This window comes from Homo sapiens, chromosome 8, assembly GCF_000001405.40.
Source record: "Homo sapiens chromosome 8, GRCh38.p14 Primary Assembly".
Classification (NCBI taxonomy): domain Eukaryota; kingdom Metazoa; phylum Chordata; class Mammalia; order Primates; family Hominidae; genus Homo; species Homo sapiens.
In genome coordinates, this window is record NC_000008.11 from 29,476,038 (window position 1) to 29,493,176 (window position 17,139).

Here is a 17,139-nt window from a genome sequence, read left to right on the forward strand (position 1 = left end):
CCATCACATACTACATTCTCTTCTCTGCCAATGGCTTTTTGATCAATGGCCTCTGTATGACAGTTTATGAGATATTGAATAGGCTACATGGGCCCATTCATTGTGTGGATAGCTTGCTCCTGCAGCAAACTGCAGGCCCTACATCTAGCATACAGGGCAGACCAAGCACTCCCTTGGGCATTCTGAAGGTTAGAGGCCACCTTATACTCTGCCTGAGACAGTGGCTTTCTTTCTTGTGATAATAATGTTTTTATTCCACTGAATCCAGGTACGTGGAGAAATTTCAGAATAATCAACTTATTTGTTTTTGTTTTTCTTATAAAAGTGTTGCACAGACTAAATGCACTAATTTAGGAAGATTGCATAGATCAAATCTTGGTAGAAGTAAGCACTCACATTTTAACTATTATTATTGTTATCATAGATTGTTTGGCACCAATGAGCTGCAAGTTGCAACGCAACTCAATCTGAAGAGAAGGCCCAGATACCCTCTAGTCTAACCTCTCACTTTGCAAATGAGTGAACTGAGGTCCAGGAAGGAGGCAAGGCTTGCCCAAGGTCACAGAATTCACTGGTAACATAAATATAATTAAAAATTCGTGAAAAATATTTACTTAGATATGTATCTTTGAAGCCAGCCAGCGTTTTCCAGCATTTTTTGAGACAATGAAGTGGCAGGATAATCCTGGGTCCCCTAGAGAAATTTTGGAAAGGTTCTCCTATATAATAAAGTCACTTAAAAAGGAAGAATTCATTGCATTTTATCCAACTGACCTGTGAGGTCCCTCCACGGAACTCCAAGGAGCCCCCACTTATTCTGGCCCTGGGTTCCTTCAGAGGTGGCTAGGCTAGAGCTGTGTCTTGGGATTCCGTACAACTGCCACCGCTGGGAGAGATGGAAGTTCTCCATGTTTATGGGAAGCCGAATTCCTCCAATAATAGAAGAGAAAGAAACAAAGTTTGTTGGAATTTTTCATGAATTCTTCCTTTTTAAGTGACTTTATTTTATAGAAGGCATTTGTATTTAGTTTGCTAGGACTGCTGCAGCAAAGAACCATAGACTAAGTGACTTAAACGACAGAAACACATTGCCTCACAGTTTTGGAGGCTGGAAGTCCAAGATCAAGATGTCGGCAGGGTTGGTTCTTTCTGAGGGCAGTGAGGGAGAATCTCTTCCAGACCCCTCCCCTGCCTTGTTGTGTTTTCTGGCCACATTTGATGTTCCTTTGGTTATAGAAGTAATACCCCAATCTCTGACTTCATCTTCATGTAGTGTTTTCCCTGTATGTGTGTCTGTCTCCAAATTTCTCCCTTTTATAAGAACATTTGTCATGTTTGATTAGGGCCCCCTCTAATGACCACATTTTAACTTGATTATCTCTTTAAAGATGCTATCTTCAAATAAGATCACATTCTGAGGTACTGTGGGTTAGGACGGCAACATATGAATTTCTGGAGAACATGACTCAACCCCATAACAGCATTGAATAATTTAGACAAGTGAGGATTGTGTCTGCTTCATTTACCATCGCATGCCAAGCGTCTAGCACAAAGCACGTCACATATTGGGCTCTCAAATATTTGTTGAATTAATAAACACATAGTTATCCTTATCTAATTATACTTGGTGTTTTTCAGATTGGCTTTTCATGAGGTGTTAATTTTCCCTCAAAGATGCAGATTATCCTTGGTGATGTGGGAATTGGAAGACTGTGCACTCAGTAATCCCCCATCCTCAGGGTAGCTAATTTCATGTCAGCATCTTCTCACACAAGCACTTTAAATTGCACTATTTCCAAGTGGTAAAACTGACTGACAATGACTTTTGTCTGTCCTGTCTGGAGCCTGGTGGTGGGTACATTGAGCAATGAATTGATCTGAAAGCAGTGGCGGTAGGAAGAAGAAAAGCTCCTGAATAACAGAGTTGGCAAATGCCTTCCCTGGAAATCCTATTCTGCCTTTGACTTCTGATGATACCAGGGTAGGATGACACAGGAACATCTGCATGGTGCTGGCCATGGGAATGCTGCCTGGGCGGATGGGGAAGTTCTCACAAACGTCTTTGCAACTGGGGAAAAGCCAGTTCTTACCTATCTGTGTCCCATCTGCAGGAATAGTAATGCCTTACAAAATTAAACCTGGACTCAGAGGCCCAAGTAGTAAATCCTGTGTCAGTCCTTTATATTTCCTATTAAAGTTGTCCATGCACATAAACAACAGATGGAAGAGATTAACAAGACGTATTATATTCAAGTACAATAAATTGGTCTGAAAGGTGGATGTCATGCTCTTATTGGGCAGAGTGTAAGTTCGGCTCAAATGCAAGGCTTTATTGTAGTGTGCTATGAGACTGCCTGGGTATTTGGGGAAAGAGGACCCAAGTCAGGAACCGAACCCATTTTAGACACCTGTAGAGCCTTTCCAAAAAATAAGAGCATCCAGATCATGCCCCTTGAGCTGTGTTAAGAACAGATGACTATAATAAAAGCAAAAGAGCCCATGACACAGGATCTGGTCACTTGTTTATTTCCACGTATTTTGCTCTGTTATGTTTTGAAGTGGGTGAACTGGGCTGTGCGAGTTTGCCTATGTGGCCATCTGGGCAAAAACTGGAGAACAGATTTCAGGCCCCCAGTTCTTCTGTTTGATTGGAAATTAGCTTCCTCCTTGGACTCCAATTTGCAATGTTTAATGGAATAGAAATGATTGGGAGCTCGTTGTTGACTGTTCATGTTAGAGAGAAGCTGTACTTAGTGCCACACTTCAGCGCTTTGCCCATTTATTGGTTCACTGCAGTGAATGTGAATAGATTGCTGCTCCTAGGCACTTAGACACAGCATTCTGGGGTTCAGACCAAGACCAAGACTCCGATGAGTCTGAAAGAACACAAGACAACTAATTAGCTGTGGGGCTGTTTTACCTTCCAGCCCCAAGAAGTCAGCCCAAGTCCAGCCCATGTCAGAGGATATGGTTCAGGGTTCAGAGGGCAGCGAGGGCATCTGGACCCTTTGAGAAAGGCCTGTGCATTTTTAGGTCAGTGTCTACCTCAGTGAACAGAGAAGTTAATCTTTTCATGATGAATTTGTATCGCCAGAGGTGCCCTACAACAAGGATGAGGCTGGGACCCGGACAGCATATGTGTCTCTTCTGAGCTTACACTCTTTATGGAACACTCTCCAGGACCATGTTCCACGAGCTGCTGGCATGTCCCACTGCTTGTAAAATTTCAGAAGGTCTTTGACTCCAGGCTAAACATCCCAGGTGCATTCTGTTTCTTTTCTGATCTAGTTTGTGTCCTCTGACAGGTCTTGGCCAATGTTTACTGGTAAACATCTGTTTATCTGTGTCCAAGTAGGCAGCCAGCACTTCATATAGCATCTGGCTTAGAGTGGAGGTCCTATTCCCACTACTTTGGTGCTACATTTCTATTAATACCCTTTGAGATCGTTATAAGTTTAAACACTTTTATTAAGAAATTTTGTAACATACAGAAAAGTACAAAGAACAATATAACAAACACTTGTGTACCCATTCCCACCTCCATCAAAAGCCTTTTATTTATATTTATATTTATTTACTTATTTGAGGCAGAGTCTCTCTGTTGCCCAGGCTGGAGTGCAGAGGCGCGATCTTGGCTCACTTCAACCTCAGCCTCCCGGGTTCAAGCAATTCTCTTGGCTCAGCCTCCCGAGTAGCTGGGACTACAGGCATGTGCCACCACACCTGGCTAATTGTTTTTTGTTTTTTGTTTCTTTTTTGTATTTTTAGTAGAGATAGGGTTTCACCATGTTGGCCTGGCTGGCCTTGAACTCCTGACCTCAATTGATCCATCTGCCTTGGCCTCCCAAAGTGCTGGTATTACAGGTGTGAGCCACCACACCCGGCCAAAAGTCTTATTATTCTTGCCATCAAATCTCAGTGATACACCTGTTATGTGTTCAGAACCCCTCATATCCTAAACCTTCTCTCTTGCTCCTTCCTCCTTTCCTGCCCCTCCTCCCCAGAGGTACCCATTATCCCAAATTTGGTATTTTTCAGTGTCATTTTTTTATACTATTACTATATTTGTATATCTCTTTAAAAAAATAGAGCATTGTTCCACATATTTTTGAATTTTATATACATGTTATAATTCCTTCCATAACTTGCTTTCTTATCTAATCTTTGTTCTTGAAGATTTCTCCATGTTGTTTTATTTTTTACTATATTGCTGTATAGTATTCCATTTTATAAATACATCACAATTTATTTATCCACTCTCCATTTGATTGATATTTATATTGTTTCTTTTTTTTCTTGCCTTTTACAAAGTACTGCAATAAATATTCTAGCACCAGCTGGGCACAGTGGCTCATGCCTGTAATCCCAGCACTTTGGGAGGCTGAGGTGGGCAGATCACTTGAGGTCAGGAGTTCAAGACCAGCCTGGCCAACATGTGAAACCCTGTCTCTATCAAAAATACAAAAATTAGCTGGGTGTGGTGGTACACAGCTGTAATCTCAGCTACTTGAGAGGCTGAGGCAGGAGAATCGCTAGAACCCAGGAGACGGAGGTTGCAGTGAGCCGAGATCATGCCACTGCCCTCCAATCTGGGTGACACAGTGAGACTCCGTCTCAAAAACAAACACAAACAAACAAACAAACTAACAAAAAAGTAGCCCTGGCCCAGTGGCTCATGCCTGTAATCCCACTACTTTGGGAGGCTGAGGCAGGCAGATCACCTAAGGTGGAGAGTTCGAGGCCAGCCTGACCAACATGGAAAAACCCCGTCTCTACTAAAAACACAAAATTAGCCAGGCGTGGTGGTGCATGCCTGTAATACTAGTTACTTGGGAGGCTGAGACAGGAGAATCGCTTGAACCCGGGAGGCAGAGATTGCGGTGAGCCAAGATCTCACCACTGCACTCCAGCCTGGACAATAAGAGTGAAACTCCATATTAAAAAAAAAAAAAAATAGTATATATATATACTAGTACCTGTCTTCTAGCATACAAATGGAAGATTTATTTTCTATCATGTGCACTTAGAAGTAGAATTTCCGGGTCTACTGCTGCCTAGTGTTCGTAGCTCCCCTTACATATGCGAGGTCTCCTTTCTCCACGTCCTTACCTATCCATGATGTTGCCACACCAACATTTTTTCACCAGTCTGATGGTGTCCGTTGCTTTAATTTGCATTTCCCTAATTATCAGGGCTGCTGAGTGTGTTTTCCACATGCTTATTTTCAGTTTCCTTTTTTTGTGGTTTGCCTCTTTCTATACTTTGATGCCTTTTCTATGGACCTTAGTCTTTTTCTTTTTCATTTGTGGAAATCCTTTTAAAATTTTGGACATCACCCTTTATTAAAGTGCTGTAAGTATCATTTCCCAGGCTGCACATTGTTGTCTAACTGTTTATGTGTCTTTTAGTGAACAAAAGATTTCTATTTTAATGTCATAAAATACACTTTAATGATTTCCCCTCTTTCTTTCTTTTTTCTAAGGGAAATATTCTTACTCTCCAGAGGTTATAAATGTTATTCTATATTTTCTTCATTAGGTTTTATAGGTCCCTCAACCTTAATTTGGGTTTTTAATTAACCTGGAATTGATTTTTGTGTGTGGTGTGATGTAGGAATCTAATATTCTTGTATTTTTCATAAAGATCACCAATTGCCCCAGAACATTTTTTGCACAATACGATTTCCCCATACTGATCCAATTCCACTTGTAAGAGCAAGGCAGGGGATGATGGTAGTGGGGCCCAGGGAAGACTAGGAGCTGAAGAGGGGCCACACTACAGGAATGATCATCTAGGGAGATGTAGTTTATGGTAGAAACGTGCCAAAGTAGGAGCGTGTGGGGGAATAAATATCTTGACATCTGTCTTCTCCAGGCTTTCATTTTTTTTCTTTTTTTTTTTTGCTGTTATTTCCCATTGGTTAAACCCCAAAGAAGTTAAACCCAGAGGGCAAGGGTGCCTTGATGATGTGGTCTGTAGGGACAGACCTCCCCAGGGCTCAGAACAGGGCAGTGAAGGGCAGAGAAGGGATCCCAGTGAGTGCAAATGGAAGGTGGCCCACACAGATCTCCCCGGCGTGCACTGACCTCATTTAATGTGTCCTTCTCCCAGAGATGCACCACCTGTTTAATTATAGTTTTACCACCTACATATGTATTGAGTATGTTTTGGAGGTCAGTTTTGAAGTATTGGGGAGCCAGCCCAAATCTAGCTGTGCAAAGAAAGAGCAATAGTTCCACAGCCAGAGAATAAATGCTGAATAGAGTCTTCGGGTCACGCTGTGGCTTTAGATTTCTTGAGAATGTATAAGAGCCCCGTCTGGAGAAAGTGATCCTTGGCTACCAAGCTTCTATAGTTAAAAGTAGGAGATTAAAAAGGAGGTCAGAAGCACTGAGAGAATGAGGGAGACTGGTCATCACTTGACTTCACCATGGAGTGACCTCAGTGGGCTGTTTATTGGGGAAACCCCTGATGTCAGTCTCTTTAGGTCTTTCCTCTTGGGCTATCAGATTCCATGGAGGAAAGTCTTATGATCTCCTGTCTCAACCAAGTTGCATATGACACATGACCTCCCTGTTTGGAGCAGGGCACCTGTATCTTCAGCTGTGTCTGGTGGCCCCCAGTGTAGAGGTCCTTTGCCAGGATGGGAGAGGGTGGTTATATGCAGTGTGGAGTACCAGGGGGACTCTATGGATTTACTGTTTCTCAAGCAGCTTTCACCAAATCCTGCTTCATGTAGTACCCCCTTGCTTTCCAATCTGGAAGTATTTGGTACTGCCAGCGTCTTAGCCCTATAGAATTGCCACCAAGTCAACCAGGTTTGTTCCCAGTTCTTCCCACTGCAGGTTTAGGATGTGCCTGTCACAGATCTGCAGAGTCAGTTATGATTCCGCCACCTGCATTCCAGCTTCCGTCTCTTATTGTTGTCTCCTCCTCTGTCCTTTCTGTTGTGCTTGTGCCTTTCTGTCTAAAAACAAAAGGCCAGGTGCCGCGGCTCACACCTGCAATCCCAGCACTTTGGGAGGCCAAGGTGGGCAGATCACCTGAGGTCAGGAGTTTGAAACCAGCCTGACCAACATGGTGAAACTCTGCCTCTACTAAAAATACAAAAAAAAAAAAAAAAAGAAAGAAAGAAAAAAGCCAGGCATAGTGGCACAGGCCTATAATCCCAGCTACTCGGGAGGCTGAGGCAGAGAATTGCTTAAACCAGGAGGCAGAGGTTTCAGTGAGCCGAGATCACACCACTGCACTCTAGCTTGGGCAACAAAAGTGAAACTCCATCCGTCTCAAACAAACAAACAAACAAACAAACAAAAACAAAAAACAGATGAGGTCTCACTATATTGCCCAGGCTGGTCTTGAACTACTGGGTTCAAGGTATCATTCTGCCTCACCCTGCAGAGTAACGGGGATTACAAGTGCAAGTCACCACACCTGGGCTTTCTATCCTTTTAAGAAATCCTTTTGGCTGAGGAGGGAGGATGGCTTGAGCCTGGAAGGTAGACTGCAGTAAGCCATGATCATGCCTCTGCGCTCTAGCCTGGGCCAAAGAGCAAGACCCTGTCTGGAAAAAAAATCCTTTTACTACAGTTTTATAAAGTGAAGTTTCTGGAGGGAGAGAAACTAGATGTGTGTGTTTAAACATCCTAATACAGAGTCCTTTCTTCCATTTTCTCTAAATTTATTAGCTTTGAGAGATGAATGATTTATTAACTTATTTTCTTTCTTTTTTTTTTTTTGAGATGGAGTCTTACTCTGTCACACAGGCTGGAGTGCAGTGGCACGATATCGGCTCAAGGCAAACTCCGCCTCCCGGGTTCAAGCGATTCTCCTGCCTCAGCCTCCCGAGGAGCTGGGATTACAGGCACCCGCCACCACGCCTGGCTAATTTTTGTATATTTAGTAGAGACTGGGTCACCATTTTGGCCAGGCTGATCTTGAGCTCCTGACCTCGAGATCCACCCGCTTCAGCCTCCCAAAGTGGTGGGATTACAGGCGTGAGCTACCGCGCCCAGCTTATTAACTTATTTTCAATCTTTCTTGCTTTTTAAATAAGTGTATTCAGTTATCAATTTCCCACTAAACAGTCATTCCACAAATTTTGATATTTAGTATTTCCAGTATTGGCAAGTTCCAAATATCTAACCATTTCCACCATGATCCTACTTAAGTTTATGAGTTACTTAGAAGTGAATTTTTAAGTTTCCAAACATATTGTAAAACAATCTTTTTATTATTGATTTCTGGTCAACACATGGTTAGGGAATGTGGTCTGTATGGCATGGATTCTTTGAAATGTATTGAGATGTCTTCAATCTCCTAAGGACCTGCATCAGTTTTTATATATGTTCTATGTGTGTCTGAAAAGGATGTAGAGTCTGCATTTGTTGGTGAAAAATTCTATATTTGTCTATCAGATGGGACTTGATTTTATTGTTCTAATCTTCTGCCGTTACTAATTTTTTTAATTGGCACAATCAGTTTCTTCTCTGTGATTATTTTTGATTTTGTTTTGTATATTTGAGATTTTGTTGTTACATACATACATATTTATTACTGGTAGATTTTCTTTTTTCCTTCAACTTTTAAGTGCCGGGTGTACAGGTGTGGGATGTGCAGGTTTGTTACATAGGTAAACATGTGCCATGGTGGTTTCCTGCACAGATCATCCCATCACCTAGGTATTAAGCCCAGCATCCGTTAGCTATTATTCCTGTTACTCTTTCTCCTCCCACCACCCCTCCAATAACAGGCCCCAGTGTGTGTTGTTCCCCTTCCATGTGTCCATGTGTTCTCATCGTTCAGCTCCCACTTATAAGTGAGAACATGCAGTGTTTGGTTTTCTGTTCCTGCATTAGTTTACTGAGGATAATGGCTTCCAGCTCCATCCGTGTCCCTGTAAAGGACATGGTCTCAATCCTTTTTATGGCTGAATAGTATTCCATGGGTATATGTACCACATTTTCTTTATCCTATGACTGGTAATTTTTTTCCATTAAGCTTTATATAATGTCATTCTTTGTCCCTGTTGATGCTTTTCCTTTACTTTTAATTTTGTCTGATTTAAATGTCACTCCCAGAACTCTGTTTCTTTCTACTAGGTTTCTCATAGAATATATTTTCCACTCATTTATTTCTAATCTCAGTCTCGCTCTGCATGGGTATGTGTGCTTTACATGTCTTTTGTAAGCAGCATAGAGCTGCATTTTAACAAAACTTAAATTTTATTTATTTTTGAAATATGTGATTCCTCATATATTGTCAAATTCTAAGTATACTAAAGAGTAAACAGTGAACGATCTCTCTCTCATCTCTTTTTCCCATCTCCCCAGTCTTTCTCTCCAGAGGTAGCCAATATTAACAGTTTCTTGCTGCAAATAATCATTGTGAATATAAGTAAATATATTCTGTATATTCATTCCTTTTATGGTGGCAGTATAGGCACTGCTAAGTACTTTGTTTTTTCATTTATTAGCAATTTAACTGTGAATAAAGAGCTTCCTCATTCTTTTCAATGACTGCATATTAGTTTATGAATGTTTCCTTATCTATTTAACCTACCTCCCATCAGAGGACTTTTAGGTGGTTGCCAGTGTTTTACTTTTACAAACAATGCTGTAACGAATAATCTTAAACAAACATTATTTAAACATGTGCAAGTATATCTATAGGAGAAATTTCTACAAATGGAATTGCTGAGACAAATGACTTCCGCTTTTGTAATTCTAATAGATATATAGAGATTGCCTAATTTTCTGGCATCGAGTCTTGCCAGTTTACTCTCCCACCAGCAAAGGCTGTCCTAATTCATACTCCTACTTGCTGGTTTTCCCACTTCCTTGCCATAGCAGCCAGCGGCCAGTCAAGAAAAGGAGACGTCTCTAGGGATTTTGAACAGAGGGGGACATAAAATGGGAAATGAGTACCCAGGTGATGGGAGAGCTGGAGAGGTTAACATGGGATAGTGAGGCAGCCCAGGGCAAAGGCAACAGCAGGAGCTGCTCTCCCCAGAGCTAGAGAACCACTTGGCAACATCATAGGTTCCAGGAGGCAGGGCCATTGACGAAGCCAGGACCCCAGCAGGCCTGCCTGGCAGGAGCTGGTGATGGAGTGAGGGGCTGTCAGGAGGGAGTGGAGGAGAAGTAGCTGCTGATGGAGACGCCTCCTGAAGCAAAGTGGAGGGGAGGAGTGCCCCGGCCTCTACCCTCCTGTTTTCTACCAGTGTCTCCCATTCCTGCAAACCACCTGAATTCAGCTTGGGAAATAAATGCATTTTCCCATGATGCAGACCAGAGTGGAGAAGGATGGAGAATGGATCTGGGAACAGCAACAACAACAAATCAAAAATAAAAAGTATGGCTCCATCTATTCTTTTCTTTCTTTCTTTTTTTTTTTTCAGACAGAGTTGCCCAGGCTGGAGTGCAGTGGTGCAATCTCGGCTTACTGCAACCTCCGCCTCCCATGTTCAAGTGATTCTCCTGCCTCAGCCTCCCGAGTAGCTGGGATTACAGGCACCCGCCACCATACCAGGCTAATTTTGTATTTTTAGTAGGGATGGGGTCTCACCAGGTTGGCCAGGCTGGTCTCGAACTCCTGACCTCAGGTGATCCGCCCACCTCGGCCTCTCAAAGTGCTGGGATTACAGGAATGAGCCACCGCCCCTGGCCTGGCACCGTCTAATCTTGTTGCTCTCAGCTTCATATTTAACTGCCAGACAACAACGACTTGGCGCTTCTACCCAACAGAATGTAACTGTACTTTGTGCCAACTCTGACACTTTAGCCCAGACCCCAAAAGGAGATGAGTAAAGTCCCATTCTCACTATGTGCACCTCGATAGTCCAGGGTCTCAGGCGTGGACGTCGTTCTTCCGGTTGTAAACGTAATTACTATGAACATCTCTCATGCAAAACTGTCAGGGAATGAGAAAGAAAAAGAAAAAAATGGGTTAATACATGCCTACAGAAGCAGGTGTAGCTGTTCAGTCCCCATGTCTGCCACTGGCCATGAGGTCGAAGTTGACATTTATCGCTCTCTTCTTCCACCGCTCATTGCATAATCCCGTTGACCTCTGCCAGCACCTGGCTGTTTGGAAATCGTTACCTGGAGGAGTGATTCAAGTCTTTATTCCCAAAGGGTCTGGTTTCTTAATAGTCCTGTCTTTTTATTCGATTTCCCCTTCAGGTCTGCAGTGCCTTCCATTGTCTTTTACTGTTGGTGATGAAATACTAAGAGGCACTGCTGAGAATCTCTTCAGTTTCAGATGTAGACTTCCCTGCCCCATCATATAACAGAAAGCCGATTTTCTCAGAGAAATTGAGATTACTCTCCGCAGCCAATACGACGTTCCTCGTGCCATCTTTCTCTGCCTATTGATTTGGTGGCATGAGCATCCCAGAGCAGCCCGATGGTGGTCTCAACTTCCAATTCTGTGAAACCATTGTTGTATCTCTGGTGGGTGCATTTTTCTCTTGGAAATCAATCCTTTTTTTTTTTTTTTTTTTTGAGACGGAGTTTTGCTCTGTCACCCAGACTGTAGTGCAGTGGGGCGATCTCGGCTCACTGCAAGCTCCACCTCCCGGGTTCATGCCATTGTCCTGCCTCAGCCTCCCGAGTAGCTGGGACTACAGGTGCCCGCCACCACGCCCGGCTAATTTTTTGTATTTTTAGTAGAGATGGGGTTTCACCATGTTAGCCAGGATGGTCTGGATCTCCTGACCTCATGATCTGCCCGCCTTGGCCTCCCAAAGTACTGGGATTACAGGCGTGAACCACCGCGCCTGGCCTCTTTTTTTGTTTGTTTGTTTAATATAGAAATCAATACTTCTAATTGGGCAGAATGGAAGGTTGCAAAGCTGGGAAGCAAAAATTCTGTGAATGGCCGTTAGGTATATAGAGAGAAGTCACTCTTTCATCACTTTGCTCCTGTCCCCAAGTATTAAGAAACTATATGATACATTGATCTCTGGTTCAAGGTGTGTGCTGCCTCCTGTTAGGAGAGCATACCCACCTGATGGTGTGTGGTCTCACAGCTGGAGAATGATTGAGCTTTCAGCAGGGCCATTCTTCCAGAGGCTTCTTGGTGATGGGGTACATGGTAAAACCAGCAGGGTGGAAAAGAGCTGGGAATGGGCTTGACAGCAAAATGGGCAAATGCCCGGCAAGCTCACCAATATGGCATGTCATTCAATCCTTTGATCTTGGCTAATCTGGTGGATGAAACATGTCACCTCAACGTGTTTTCATTTCTTTTGAACGTCATTTTATGTACTTAAGAGCCACTTGGATTTCCTTTTTTGTAAACTATTGATCTTTTTTTTTGCCTGTTATTCTTTGGAATGTTGGTACTTCTTTATGTTTTAGTAAAAGGAGCCTCTATCTATCCTTTGTCAGATAATAAGACTATTTTTCTAAGTAATTCTTTATCTACTTCTTAAGCGGTACAGAAGTGTTTTATCAAGAAAAAAATATGTGCATAGTTTTATTGAAGGTCTTGTATTGTGTGGTTTATAACTTTTCGTGGCTAGATAATGTATAGGAGAAGAAGTTATAAATGTAGTTAGGCTCTTGATGATGGGAAGCCTCATATTATAGGCCAAGAACTTTGGGTTTTACCCCAAAAGCAATTGTAAACCACTTTAAGAAAAGTGTGACATAATCAGATTTGCTTTTAATACTATACCAGTGATTGTTTGGGGTATTGCAAATATATATTTTTACCCCAGATTTGAAATGCCACTTTGTCCTATACTAAATACATTTACATCTATTTCTGGAATTTTAGGCCTGTTACCTTGAACTGTCTGCTTAATAATATTTTTTGTTTTTTGTGTTTTTTTGAGATGGAGTCTCACTCTTGTCATCCAGGCTAGAGTGCAATGGCATAATCTTGGCTCACTGCAACCACTGCTTCCTGGGTTCAAGCAATTCTCCTGCCTCAGCCTCCCGAGTAGCTGGGATTACAGGCAACTGCCACCACACTGGACTAATTTTTGTATGTTTAGTAGAGATGGGGTTTCACCAGGTTGGCCAGGCTGGTCTGAAACTCCTGACCTCAGGTGATCCACCCACTTCAGCCTCTCAACGAGCTGGAATTACAGGCGTGAGCCAACGTGCCTGGCCTAATAATGTTTTAATATGACATTATTTTGTTTACTGTGGCTTTATGTTTTAATATTTAGTAGAAATTTTTTCTCCATTGTCCATTTTCAAAATGGATTCCTGGATAAACTGGCTTAATAGTTTTCCTATATTAACAGTCTTAGTCCATTTGTGTTGCTCTAAAGGAATATCCTAGGCTTGACAATTTATAAAGAAAAGAGGTTTATTTGGCTCACGGTTCTGCAGGCTGTACAAGAAGCATGGCGCCAGGATCTATGTCTGATGAGGGCCTCAGGTTGCTTCCATTCATGGCAGAGGGTGAAGAGTAGCTAGTGTGCAAAGATCACAAGATCAGAGAGGAAGCAAGAGAATGGAAGGAAGAGTTGCCAGGCTCTGTTCAACCACCATGTTTAGTTTTCATGGAAACTAAGGGTGAGAATTCACTTGCTCCCTCCAGCGAGAATGGAACCAAGCCATTCATGAAGAATCTACCCCCACAATCCAAATACCTCCCACCAGACCCCACCTGCAACATTGTGAATTAAATTTCAACTTGGAGGGCCCAAAGAAAACAACTTCAAACCATTGCATTCACTTCACAGTTCTCTAGTCCAGATGTGCTTTCCTCCTTAAAAAAAAAATTCTGCTGTTCTTTGCATTGGGATCCCAATCCCAAGCACTGCTGTCTTCAGGGGCCAGCATGATGTATCCTCAGCTCCTCCTCCACCTCCTCTCCTAACACTGCCCTGAATTTTCTCTGCCTTCCCCACTCTGGCCCCCTTGCTATTGCTCAAACATGCCATGGCCTCCCATCTGCTACTGTCTTCATCTCTGTTCAGCAAGATTGAGTGGCCTCAACTTAGGACCAGGACCCCATCTATAGTCATTTGGGTGGGACTTTTCTCTACACCCTGGGATTTGGGGATGTGGCAGGTCCAATGTCCCGGTCAGCAGGTGGCGGACACAGGTCCTGGAACTGAGGCTGAATCTTTCCCTCTGTTTTCCCTAAAACAGTCCCAGGCATTGGGCAGGTGCCATTTTTTTCAGCTGCCTCTTGAGTGGCGTCAGGCCTGATTCCCTCTCAGCCTCAAGCAGGAACAGGTTGAGTCCCTGTTATTCAAGCAGCTGACCTCTCAGCAGCCTGATTCTGGCCCCAGAACCCTGCAGGCTGAAGGCTTCAGTTCCACACACTGCTTTGGTTTGGATCTGCATCTGGCTTTTGGAGATCTTTAGCTTGTTTCTGAGACCACCTGTGTCTTAGTGGGTTCCTCTTCTGATATTCTATCTCTCATTTTTATGTGTTCAGTACAGAGTGGGTGTGAGGAAGCATGAACTTCTGTGCACCATTGTGACTAGACCACTCATTTATCTTAGCAGACACTCTGAGGTCTGTCTCTCACGAGCTCCTGCTAAAATAACACATTAACCAGCCTGTACTTGTGTGGCGGTTTGGGGGTGCAAATGCTGGACCTTGCAACAATTCCTTCTAACAGCAGCCCTGTTGGAGGAAAGGCAGGTGGGTGTGACTGCAAATCTGTGGTCTCCAACCACAGCAGGGCCTCTGCAGTTCTGCACAGAAGCTCAGCTGGCTTCCTCTTGTCAGCCTCAGCACTTGATCTGGCCCCTCCATCACAGCAAATATGAATAACAGTGCTGACATTGTTCTTATCAGTACGAATGGGGCCGTCAAGTTAAACACCAGCAAGTCCTCTCACTCTTCAACTGTGCTTATCCTTCCCTCCAGGAATTCGTTTTTGTCTCCAGGAATTCTCTGCCTAGAGAACAACACAGTTGCTCTTTACCCTCACACAACACTTCTAATAGATGTGTGGGTTGGTTTTTTTTTTTTTTCCACCCCAAGCAAGTCTCCAATTTTCTGAATACCAGCTAGGAGTCCTACAATTTCATTAAATTCTGATACTATCTACCTGGAGTTAGCATCAGATCCCATGAGTTCAGGGCTCAGTCTCACAAGACTGCACCCCCCACTTCAGACACCAATCAGGAGTCCAGGCCTGTACTCCCAGGGACTCAGGATGCTGAGTGACCAGCTATAAGTTAGGGTTCCTGATCTCCTCCTTGGGTTTGATAATTTGCTAGAATGATGAGTAGAACTCAGGCACTCAGAACTTAGGTCTACTGTTTACTCAGGAAGAGCAGATGGAAAAGATGTACAGAGTAAGGCATTAGGGATGCAGGACATGGAGCTTCCACTCTGTCTCTGGGCACACCACCCTCCCAGCACCTGCATAGTTTCAGCCATCTGGAGCCCACCATGTCTTGTCCTTCAGTAGTTTTTATAGAGCTTAACCCCCAGGACCTGATGCCATTTCCCAGATGTCAGTGGGTGGGGCTGAAAGTTTTGTTTTGTTTTGTTTTGTTTTGTTTTTTAGACAGAGTCTCTCTCTGTCGCCCAGGCTGGAGTGCAATGGTGTGATCTCGGCTCACCACAACCTTCGCCTCCCAGGTCCAAGAGATTCTTCTGCCTCAGTCTCCCAAGTAGCTGGGATTACAGGTATCCACTACTATGCCCAGCTAATTTCTGTAGAGACGGGGTTTCACCATGTTGGCCATGCTGATCTTGAACTCCTGACTTCAGGTAATCCACCTGCCTCGGCCTCCCAAAGTGCTAGGATTACAGGCATGAGCCATTGCGCCTGGCCTGAAAGTTTTAGCCCTCTAATCGTTTGGTCTTTCTGAGGACTATCCCCATCCTGTAGCTATCTCGGTCCCCTATCTAAGTCACCTCATTGGCATAAACTCAGGAATGATCAAAAGGGACTTATTATTAATAACAAAAGACACTCCTATCACTCAGGAAATCCCAAGGATTTTAGGGGCTCTGTACCAGGCATTGGGGACAAAACCTGAATATATTATTATACCATAATGCCTCTCCTTTTTATCTAAGCCTTGTTGCCCAAACTGCCCTAATTCTTATCCTTTCAGGTTTCCTGTTTCATCAATTTCCCCTTCATTTACATATAAAATCTATATTTTACTCTGGTCTCTTTTATTTCAGCATATTATTATGGTTAAGTGTCTCTCATTTTCCAAACAGTAAATATATAAGGAGTCTCCCCCTGCCTGGCACACCTTCTAGAGTCTACCTTCCTTGCCCCTCATCACAAAACAAATTTCTCAGAGCAGTCTTTGCTCTTGCCACCCCCTTGCCACCCTTCTCTTCTGCAACCCATGGCCATCAGACCTCGGCCCCATCGCTCCACTGAAACCATGCAGTGAAGGTCAGTCACGAGCTTTTAATTGCCAAACCCAATGGGAAAATTGGTTTGGGTTGCTTGGTTTTTGTTCCTTAGCTTTTCTGCAACATTTACCACTTCTTCCCTTTGGAAACCCCACACTTCTTTGGCTTCTATGCCGTTGTCTCCTGTTCTCAGGACATGTCTCTGAGTTCTGTTTTGCCTCCTATAATAGTCAGGGTTCTCCAGAGAGACAATCAATAGGATGTATTAGAGGGAATTTATGAGGGAATTGGCTTAAATTATCACAGAGATGGAGGAGTCCCATGCTAGGCCATCTGCAAGCTGGAGAACCAGAGAAGCTAGTAGTGTGGCTCAGTCCAAATTCAAAGCCTCAGAACCAGGGAGGTGGACCATGTAGCCCCCAGTCCAAGGCCAAAGACCCAAGAAGCCCTGGGAGGCTGGTGGAACAAGCCTCATAGTCTGACAGCTATAGAACCTGAAGTCCAATGTCCAAGGGCAGGAGGAGAAAAGCATCTTGCTCTGGAGGGGAAAGGGGAGAGAGAGTGAGAGAGAGGGATGGAAAGAATAAATCATCCCCTTCTTTCTCCTGTTTGTCCCAACTAGGCCCCCAGCAGATTGGACGGCACCCACCCACACTGAGGGCTAGCCTTCCTCTCTCTGTTCACTGACCCACATGCCAGTCTTATCTGGAAATATCCTCACAGACACCCAGAAACGATGCTTCTCCAGCCATCTAGGCATCCCTCAATCCAGTCAAGTTGACACCTGGAATTGACCCTCCCACCTCCTTCCCACTGGCCTGCCTCCTCCACTCC

General features: G+C 43.7%; 3 annotated features.

Moving 5' to 3' along the window:
• Window positions 11,850–12,380: an enhancer, noted in NCBI's record as "OCT4-NANOG hESC enhancer chr8:29345404-29345934 (GRCh37/hg19 assembly coordinates)". NCBI's record gives its function as "activates a minimal SCP1, AML or CMV promoter by ChIP-STARR-seq in primed H9 embryonic stem cells {active_cell/tissue: H9 hESC(primed)}" and the evidence as "EXISTENCE:reporter gene assay evidence [ECO:0000049][PMID:30033119]".
• Window positions 14,167–14,226: an enhancer, noted in NCBI's record as "active region_27194". NCBI's record gives its function as "activates an Ori minimal core promoter by ATAC-STARR-seq in GM12878 lymphoblastoid cells {active_cell/tissue: GM12878}" and the evidence as "EXISTENCE:reporter gene assay evidence [ECO:0000049][PMID:35858748]".
• Window positions 14,482–14,987: an enhancer, noted in NCBI's record as "NANOG hESC enhancer chr8:29348036-29348541 (GRCh37/hg19 assembly coordinates)". NCBI's record gives its function as "activates a minimal SCP1, AML or CMV promoter by ChIP-STARR-seq in naive H9 embryonic stem cells {active_cell/tissue: H9 hESC(naive)}" and the evidence as "EXISTENCE:reporter gene assay evidence [ECO:0000049][PMID:30033119]".